The sequence below is a fragment of the Homo sapiens genome, chromosome 9 (assembly GCF_000001405.40).
Source record: "Homo sapiens chromosome 9, GRCh38.p14 Primary Assembly".
Classification (NCBI taxonomy): Eukaryota; Metazoa; Chordata; class Mammalia; order Primates; family Hominidae; genus Homo; species Homo sapiens.
Genome location: NC_000009.12, coordinates 97,046,591 through 97,057,005, shown reverse-complemented (window position 1 = coordinate 97,057,005; position 10,415 = coordinate 97,046,591). Strand labels below are relative to the sequence as shown.

At 45.2% G+C, this 10,415-nt stretch overlaps 2 annotated features.

Moving 5' to 3' along the window:
- Positions 347–847: an enhancer, noted in NCBI's record as "H3K4me1 hESC enhancer chr9:99818441-99818941 (GRCh37/hg19 assembly coordinates)". NCBI's record gives its function as "activates a minimal SCP1, AML or CMV promoter by ChIP-STARR-seq in naive H9 embryonic stem cells {active_cell/tissue: H9 hESC(naive)}" and the evidence as "EXISTENCE:reporter gene assay evidence [ECO:0000049][PMID:30033119]".
- Positions 848–1,348: an enhancer, noted in NCBI's record as "H3K4me1 hESC enhancer chr9:99817940-99818440 (GRCh37/hg19 assembly coordinates)". NCBI's record gives its function as "activates a minimal SCP1, AML or CMV promoter by ChIP-STARR-seq in naive H9 embryonic stem cells {active_cell/tissue: H9 hESC(naive)}" and the evidence as "EXISTENCE:reporter gene assay evidence [ECO:0000049][PMID:30033119]".

Below are 10,415 nucleotides of genomic sequence, written 5' to 3'. Positions count from 1 at the left end.
CACTCTAGCCTGGGTGAAAGAGCAAAACTCTGTCTCAAAAAATAAAAAATTATATAAAAAATTATGTATTATGTTTTTGAGACAGGGGTCTCTGTCACACAGGCATATATATATATATATATCTCACCACAGTGGTGGTCTAGATTGCAGGCAGCAATATTAGCCTAGTGAGTGCTTCCCCCCAGTCCACTCCCACTCCCACTCAGATGAGGTAAGGTTACATAGGTATAAACTAATGAACCCAAATTTTGTACAACCCACTTCTATCAGGCCCTTAGAAATGCCGGCATAAAGTTGAGAAACACAGCTACAGTTTGTTGCTTAGGAGTCATCCCTGCTTCCTGCACTTGTACTTGTAGCCCTCATCCTAGGACCACTGCATCAGGTAGGGGAAAAAGAAACCTGAGGTGATGTGGAGAAAAAGGAAAAAATCATAGTCATTATACTAGTGTACTCTTCCCTTGTCAAGAATTGCAGTCATACCAGCATCCTCCCTGCCCCTCCTTTCCCAGGTCCACTAGAAAAATAGAGGAAAACTGAATGGGGACCCTTCTTTAGCCCCACTCCTGGTACATAAAAGCACACACTTGTGAAGGCAGGTCAGCCAACCCTTCATGGTCTTATCTCTCCCTGGTTCAGATAACCAAGGCCCACTCCACTTCCCTCTCAAACTATAACTCTGAGGGGGACCTCTCCTTCCCACTGTCAGACAGCACGGGCTGTACCGTGTGTTCCTTCCTCTGGAGAAATGATGGTAGGCTTCCACATCTGTGTAGTATCTCCTGCTCTGGAGATCACCCTGAGTCCTTGCATCTCCCACCAGGTAAGCCAAGCCCAGTCCCGAGCCAGCGTCCATTCCCGTCAGAACCCGTGTGTTGCCCCCAGGGCCACCCCATCAGTCTCACTTGCCAGCTGTGTTCAGGGCCTTCCCACCACCGAACCTATCCCGGAGCCATCGGCAGTGTCTGTCTGTCTTGCGGGCAGACAGAACAGTTCTTACTGGCATCTTGTGCCTGAGAGGGTGCAAGAGGAACGTGTCTAGACTCAGCCCATCTCTGCGCTGCTGTAGTTCCCATAGCCACTCATTTCACGGAGCCAGGTGGCCACCCTGAGTGAGAACAGCAAACAGGGATATCTGCCAATTCCAGGCGACTTTCCAACCTGGAAGGGAGATTTTCTGATGGGCGTTTGATGTGTTGCTTTCATGCAACCCTCAGATTTCCACAGGGCCGGGCCCCATACGGGCATCCCTTTAATAGACCAGGTTTCCATTGCCCCTCTGCCTGACCATGTCGCCAGGCCATTGGCCACTGCCCATGAGTCAGTGAAAACCAGACACAGAGGCTTCGCCACCGCTCAGTCACTGCTAGGAAAGCAGCATGCAGGTCGGCCACCGAGCTGATTTGCTTTTGACTTCCTTGATCAGAGTGGCAGCTTCCAAACAGAATGTTGTCCCCTTGCCTGGAACTGCCGTCCACAAACCAAGCAGTTGTTTATCATTCAGTTAAGAGGTATTTGTAGGGCAAGTGGAAATCGGTACCAGCAGCTCTTCAGATGGTTTCAAAGTCAATCTTGGAGGAAAAGAGGCCACCTGCTTGTGGGGATGGTGGGTGCCTCCCTGCATTCCCCCAGTAGCATGTCCCTGTATCAACTATTTTCTTTTTTTTTTTTTTACACCAAGTCTCACTCTGTCACCAGGATGGAGTGCAGTGGCGCAATCTCGGCTCACTGCAACCTTCACCTCCCGGGTTCAAGCGATTCTCCTGCCTCAGCCTCCCAAGTAGCTGGGACTACAGGCGCAAGCCAGCTAATTTTTGTATTTTTAGTAGAGACAGGGTTTCACCATGTTGGCCAGGATGGTCTCCATCTCTTGTCCTCGTGATCCGCCTGTCTCAGCCTCCCAAAGTACTAGGATTACAGGTGTGAGCCACCACGCTGGGCCAACCATTTTCTTTTCATGATGATGGAGCTCTTCTGGGTACTGGGTACTCAAGTGGAGAATCTGTCTCTCCAGGCACTCCAGCTTCTGCTGTCTTCTGTGTGGGCTCAGGTAATCTTACTGGTTCCCCTTTAGCATGTCTAATTAATATTGTTTTTAGGATGGTTCACATGCCTTCTGTTTTCCAGAAATAAGTAGGGAGAATATTCCCCACTCACATACAATGTCTGTTCCTATAAAACATTTAAGTAAAGGAAACACAACTACTTTACATGAAGGCGGTGTAAACATTCCAACTTTCTTAATCTTATCAATGCTTACATTTTTATGTTCTAGTCCCAGGAACTTCGCTCTCCATCCCCAGACCACTTTCACCCTCTCTTATATAAAAGGCTTTTGGTCTCCAGCAAGGGTCTGGCCAAGTGACTCTGGTCTCTGCTTACCTTGATTAGCCAGTCTATTGCCCCAGGCAATTCCAGGTGGGATTTCTCATAGTAATCTTTTTGCCTTTTAAAATTCCTCCAAACTGGGGAAAATACAGAAAACTGGTTTGCGATCCTTTAATATGGGGGAATGGGGGCCGGACTCCCTTTGGTCCATCCAACCTTTGATAGTATTGTGTTAAGACCTTTCTTTCAACTCCATCAAGTTATTTATTCATTCCATTTTTAAATAACCGTCTAAAGATTTCCACCCTGCTGGGATGAGTCCCATGACTCTCTCCTTTCCTTTTCCCCTGTGTTTCACCTTTATCAGTTTTTAAAAACATTCACCTTATTTCTTAATAACATATAAAAATGTTTTTATTTTTTAAATTTAAACATTTCCACTTCCTGGGATGAACCTCTGACTCTCCCTTTTGCCTTTCCCCGTTCTCTTGTTAATTACCCTAATGTTTTATTAGCATCTGTAAGCCCCATGAGGGAAAGCTGTAAATTACGTAAGGCTTCTCTGACCATAGCTGGATTTTACAGCAATAAAGTTACACGAGGTGCCCATGCAGAAGGGGTCCCCTTAACCACAGCATTTACCATGACCTGGGTAACAGGCACATTCAGCAGGTGAATATTCATTCATCAGAAAACCAGTCCCACATGGCTTACATATGAAGGATATCAATTGCTTCATCTGGGTTGCTCCACTTGGCATTTACAGGGGGAGAGGGACAGTTTCCCTTCTCAGGGTAAACAGACCTTACAGTGGCTTTTTTCCAATCCACCAGGTTGGCTGTTTCCTCGGAAATAACCTCCTCTGTGTCTGCATCATACATAGCCATCTGTGATGTTCAATAGTGAACTGTGGGTCCCTCATCGACCCAAACATGCTCTTGCACCCTGTAGCATACAAAACCAAAGACCCTGCTCCTAAGTCAGTTACTTCAGAATCCGCTTTAGTAAAAGCTAATGATACTGGTCTCCAAAATGAACAATTCCTTCCACCATACCCTCTGGTTTCAACAGTTACTTGGTTTTGTCCTCCCCCCGCACTGACTACTTTCTTGGTAATCATGGGTCTCAGAGGTATTTCTGTTGTCCCTGCATAATTTTCTCCTTTGTGCGTAGCTTTGAGGCTAGTGGCCAAAGCTCAGACTCACTGAAATCTGAGCTTGGTCTAGCATCAAGCTCTGACCCAGCACTCTCTTTTATTTTCATTTCAGCCGTCAGAAAAAGAAAAATATGAAAAAAAATTTTTTTGAGACAGGGTCTCACTCTGCTGTCCAGGCTAGAGTGCAGTGGCACTATCATGGCTCACTGCAGCCTCAGCCTCCAAGGCCTCCACCTCCAGGGCCTCCACCTCAGCCTCTCGAGTAGCTGGGACCATAGGTGCATGCTGCCACACCTGGCTATTTTTTTTTTTGAACAGTTTTTGTAGAGACAGGGTTTCGCTACATTGCCCAGGCTGGTCTCAAACTCCTGGGCTCAAGCAATTCTCCCACCTCAGCCTTCCAAAGTGCTGGGATTATAGATGTGAGCCACTGCAGCCAGCCCAGAAAAAAATGTTTAGGCGATTCAAGATGGCTGCAGGTTGGACATACAGGCAATAGATACTAGACCTGTAAGCTAAAGCTCAACCCTCCCCTGCAAGGCTGGAGTCTCAAATATTTCACTGGCAGGTACTGATGACAACATTGCCTATCAGATGAAGCCCAAAGGCAGGATAGAATCAATCACCCCTCTCCAGACCCTAAGATGCCTGCATACTTCCTAAGCCTTTCAACCCATAAACATTAACTGCTCATTTGCTTTATCTTAGGTACAAAGCAACTGAGCACCAGTAGAATTGGAACAATGTCACCTTTGCCTTACTCTTCCCGTCTTCTATATAAAAGAACACGTAAATAGAATTGGAACAATGTCGCCTTTGCCCCCTCCTCCCATTCCCAACATGTAAATAGTGCACGGGACACATTCTCAGTTTGCACTGAGTTTCTGTTTCTTGGCTATTAGTCCTCAAACTTGGCTCAGGATAAAAGTAAGTTTCTTTAAGTTTATAGTGCGTGTTATTTCAACTTTTGGTCTGCATAGCTATTACAGATAACAATAACCAAGGGATTGAATATTTTGCTTTTTACTTATCAGTTTGCATTTTCTTATGCATCCGGGGAACCAACCCCCTGAGAGTTGGATCCATCTCTAAATTCCACCGGTGGCCAAATGTGGTGGCTCATGCCTGTAATCCCAGCACTTTGGGAGGCCAAAGCAAGAGAACTGTTTGAAGCCAAGAAGTCAGCTGCCGTGAACCACAGTGGCACCACTGAACTCCAGCCTGGGCGACAGAGCCAGAGATCTTGTCTTTAAAAAAAAAAAAAAAAAAAAAAATTCTGGTTGACAGAGCAGGAGCACCATCATCTCAGACAAACACTGCCTCTTTAAGTTCCAGCTCCCTTTCTAGCCTCATGCATTTCAAGAAAATCACTTCTAACAACAAGCAGCCAGAAAAGCAGACAATGAAACACAGATAAGACAGCTCTGGCACAGAGCGGGGAGTGGGGGAAGTCTCTTGGGTAACTGCCAAACTTCACCCTCATACAATGGGCCCCAGTAAAACAGTGGGTCTTGATTAGCACATTCCTTTCCCTGCAGGGGCACTAAGATAGGAAAGCTAAAAGCAGACTCGGGGGATACGCCTGCAGCTGCAGGAAGATGTATGGGAACAGACACACAACTCTCCCTCCCAGATAAGCACAACAAAGAGATATAGAAGCAGTCCAAGCCTCTGATAAACTCTCCCATCTTGAATCCTTAAAAACTCTTAGTCTGTAAGAGAGTAGGGGCCAGGCACAGTGGCTCACGCCTGTAATCCCAGCACTTTGGGAGGCCGAGGCAGGTGGATCACCTGAGGTCAGGAGTTCGAGACCAGCCTGGCCAATGTGGTGAAACCCCATCTCTACTAAAAATACAAAAATTAGCCAGGTGTGATGGTGGGTGCCTGTAATCCCAGTTAATTGGGAGGCTGAGGCAGGGAGAATCCCTTGAACCTGGAAGGCAAAAGTTGCAGTGAGCCGAGATCATGCCATTGCACTCCAGCCTGGGGGACAGAGCAAGACTCCATCTAAAAAAAAAAAAAAAAAAGTCCTTTGACCTAACGGCCAGAATCACCTCTCAGGTTTATTTTCTCTAAAATATCAAGCCACCTTTTGTGTTTCTTTCTTCTTTTGTTAATTCTTACACCAGTAATTTTTACCTTTAGTAACTCAACAGCTCCACACTGTGCATGACCATGTGGCCACCCAGGAATCAAAGGATTCTGGTCTTATCCCTACCCTTGCATCCTTTCTTTCACCAAACCATGTGTTTCCATGAGCCAGAGCCAGTCTAACAAATCCCACTCCTCTGACACCAGATGTGAAACTGGAAAAACTCAAACTGTGTTTTTCTCTGCTTTCACACCAAAACAATCAACACAGAAGACTTCTGTGACTAAATAGGTGGTCCCCACCAGCAAATGAGCAATCAGTTTTGCAGTGGACACCAGCAGGGTGTTCTTCAATTTAATTCTGACACTATCTACCTGGAGACAACATCAGATCCCACAGGTTGAGGGCCAAGACCAAACCCCCACCCCTGAACCCAGCCAAAAGCTTGCCCTCTGGAACGTCTGCCCGACTGGCTTCAAGTGCATGTTCCCACAATGCCCTTTTTGGGTTTGATTAATTTACTAGAGTGGCTCACAGAACTCAGAAAAACTTACTTACATTTACTAGGTTATTATAAAGGATCCAGTTGAAGAGACGCGCAGGCCAAGGTACGGGGGAAGAGGTGCAGAGTTTCCACGCCTTTTCCATGTATTACCCACCAGGAACCTCCGTGTGTTCAGCCATCTGGAAGCTCTCTGAATCCTGTCCTTTTTGGATTTTTATGGAGGCCTCATTATGTCAGCATGATTGATTAAACCACTGGCCATTGGTAATCAATTGAACTGTGAGTCCCTCTCCCCTCCCTAGAGGTTTCGGGGGTGAGGCTGCAAGTCCTACCCCTCTAATCCTGCCTTGTTCTTTCCTGTTACCAGCCCCATGCTGAAGCTATTGAAGGGCTGCCAGCCACCAGTCAATCATTAGCAAACAGAAAGACACCATTTTGGTGTTTCTAAGGATTTTAGGAGTCATATGTCAGGAAACAGGGTCGAAACCAAATATATATTTCACAGTTTCACAAGTGGGATAGCAGGTGGGCAAGAATGGTTAAAGCAATAAACATGGTCAGTATATAGAATTTCAATGGCAACAATTTTCACAGAAAAGTTACTCTGCCTTTGGATTGAATGTCACTTCTCAAAGATATGCCAATTTTCATGGGAGAAATTTCTATAGATGGCTGACTATATCAACACTTGTGTTCGCTCGTTTAATTTTTATTTATTTATTTATTTAGACAAGAATCTCACTCTGTCACCCAGGCTGGAATGCAGTGGTGCAATCTCAGCTCACTGCAACCTCTGCCTGCCAGGTTCAAGCAATTCTCCTGCCTCAGCCTCCCTATAGCTGGGCCTACAGGCACATGCCACTATGCCTGGCTAATTTTTGTTTTTTTAGTAGAGACAGGGTTTCACCATGTTGGCCAGGCTGGTCTCGATCTCCTGACCTCAGGTGATCCACCTGTCTCGAGCCCCCAAAGTGCTGGGATTACAGGTGTGAGCCACCATGCCCAGCCTCTCATTTAATTTTTAATACTACCTTATGGGGTAGTTGATATTGTCCACATTTTGTAGTGGATGAAACCAAAGCTCTGAGAAAGTAAGTCAGTTGTACAAAATTTATGCCTACCAGAAATGGGATTGGAAATAGCTACATTCCAAAGCCAGTGATAATTTGGGTCAAGGAGTACTGATAATTGTTGCTCCTATTGGTTCATTTTCTACTGAGCTTCTTTTTTCACTTACTATTATTACTTTTATTATTATCTTGTGATTTCATTTCACAAAATTATAAGTTTGCATTCCAAAAGCACCTAGTTCCTGGCTCGATCCTCATCTTTGCAGGAGATTCTGAAGCTTAATTGCTTTACATGTTTCAGACTAACCACTGAGCTTTTTTCATTTAAAAATATTTAATTGATAAAGATTGTATCTATTCAAGGTGTACAATGTGATGTCACTGTTTCAGTGCAGACATAGCTGTAACATAGAGAGCTTTTAAAATGAAAGCTTTTGGATAGTCTGTCAGTTTGGTTGTCAAAGTTTGGTATTTCCAGCAAACACTTATTTATCAACTCACTCTTTTATTACCACAATCAAAATAATAAATAGTAAGAAGGGATAGCATACATGATTTATTTTTCAGCGCTTCTCCAATCCAAAAGAAAAAAACAAAAGTATAAAAACAAATGAAAGATCACAGAAGTCCCCAATTTTCTTCTCTTTCATCAGTTGGGCAAAATAACAAAATGTTCATTTTCAGATGGCAACTCCCCTTTGTGCTTACAGAAAGGCTTTGTTGCCTGTTGGGTGCAAAGCTTCTATCTCTGTTACCTAGGGTATAATGCCCTAGGATCTCCTAGATCCTAGGGGAAATGGAACATTATTATCTCAAATGGATTTATTATGCTGCATATTCTTGGATATCTCTAGATCAGATACTAGGTTAAGATGCGTCTTACCTTAAGTAGCCTCTGTGCTCATTTGTACCATTAACTTCATGCATCCTAAACTGTTTTCTTCTCAATGTCCCTCCAGGGCTCTCTGGGGTAGGAGCAGCAGAAGAGGGCCCCACCTCCCTGGGTGTGAAAACTACTGGGATCAGGCAGGAGTGGGAGCCACCTGGCCGGCCATCCTGAGAAGTCACCTCTACAGGCCTCTTGCATTGCCCTAGTGGACTCTGGCAGAGTTCTAGCATTCCTGTGGATGGGGTGCTGAGGCTGTACAGGACCCTTGCTGAAGATGCTGGCTGGCTCCTGGTTGTGGGGACTCTCTAAGAAACAGAGGACATCGGCCTGATGCATGGCTCACACTTGTAATCCCAGCACTTTGGGAGGCCAAGGCGGGCACATCACCTGAGGTCAGGAGTTCAAGACCAGGCTGGACAACATGGTGAAACCCCACCTCTACTAAAAATACAAAAATTAGCTGGGCATGGTGGAGGGCACCTATAATCCCAGCTACTTGGGAGGCTGAGGCAGGAGAAGAATCGCTTGAACATGGGAGGCAGAGGTTGCAGTGAGCCGAGATCGTGCCATTGCATTCCAGCCTGGGCAACAAGAGAGAAACTCCATCCAAAAAAAAAAAAAAAGAAAGCAACAGAGACTTCTAAGCTCCCTGAGGCATTTCTAAGCATCTAAAGGACAGCAAGGAGGATCTAGGATTTGTGTGTTGTGGGGGCAGAGGAAGTTTCCCAAGTTCACCTGAGGCCCACTGAGCTCTAGGCCAAGTGCCAGTTTCCATAAAGTTGTAGCCAAATTAGCAACAATTCCTCTCTTAGCCTAAAAATTGCCATTCTGCGATGCTATTTACTGGGCATCTATCATACACTGGGGTCCCCAGTGCTATAAAACAAAGTCTTTGTCCTCAATTCACTTGGTTAAGGAGAAAGAATATGCAACTTAGTTTTGCTTGCCCTCCCAGTGTAACTAAAACACTTTCCTTATATCATTCAAATTATCATTTAGTTCCATTTCTCTCTTTGAACTTGGAGAAAAACTCTTTTTACCACTATCTAATTTTTCTTGGTCAAATTTCTCTCAGTTTCCTCAGAGCCATGCAACCATCACCAGATGCTAACTCATGAATGTTGCGTATCAGCAACTTTCTACACAGAGTGCATGGAAATTTAGAAGCTGAGGAAGTGTGCATGAGGAGAAGGGTGCTGTGCAGAGGTGTGGGTGGGTTGAGAGGACACGCAGGCCATATCCGCAGTATAGAAGCTAATTAGCCTGGGAAAGGTCAGCTTGTATAGTCTTTGCTCCATTGATAGCAAACCTGAGGTGCTGGCCGAGGGAACACAGGCAGAACCACCCGACTCCAAGCCTTGCCAAATCACCTGTGCCTTCTGCCATCGCCCGACTCTTCCTCCTAGAGTGGGAGATAAGTATCTGGGCAGAGGATCTTATGAACAGAAAATGCATTTAAAACAAGCAATTGAGGCTGGGTGCAGTGGCTCATGCCTGTAATCCTAGCACTTTGGGAGGCCAAGGTGGGCGAATCACCTGAGGTCAGGAATTCGAGACCAGCCTGACCAACATGGTGAAACCCCGTCTCTACTAAAAATACAAAAGTTAGCCAGGTGTGGTACCAGGTGCCTGTAATCCCAGCTCCTCTGGAGGCTGAGGCAGAAGAATCTCGCTTGAACCCGGGAGGCAGAGGTTGCAGTGAACCGAGATAGCGCCACTGCACTCCACCCTGGGCGACAGAGCCAGACTCCATCTCAATCAATCAATAAAGCAATTGTTCCTCCTCGGATCAGAACTGTGAGTTTTATACTGAACTGTTACATGTTGTTTCCTCTTTCTATCTTAGCAATGATCAAAAAAAGATCAGATTCCTTTTGCAGAGGGTGGGCTAGTTCTCCTAAGGAGAAGCTGGGTCCTCAGTGGATCCTCTGGATTTGAGGATGAAGTTTAGAAGTGCTTGGGACCACAGCTGTGGGTCTGATTTGAGGACAAGAAAACCAAAACAAGGGGGCAGCACTGGTGTGGGGAGGTGGGAAGGAGAAAACAAGGAACATAAAAAACAAAACCACCAATGTGGAGTTTGTAGCTCAGAAAAACTTTCAAGCTTATACGGAGAAGATTTCCCTGTTTTGATTTATAAGGGGATCATACAGAGAATCACGGATGCTTGATTATCTGGTTCTATTTCCTTTCTGTGGTCTCAAATTTTTTTAAAAGAATATTTTATGTGTTTGTTTTTAAAATTGGTGAATGAATAGACCTCACTTTTTATAATACCTGGGCTTCTCAGAACCATGAGTCATTGACGTATTATCATTGGAGCCAGGCTTAAAATCTGACATTTAATTAGCACAGGTAAGAGGCAGAGCCTTTGT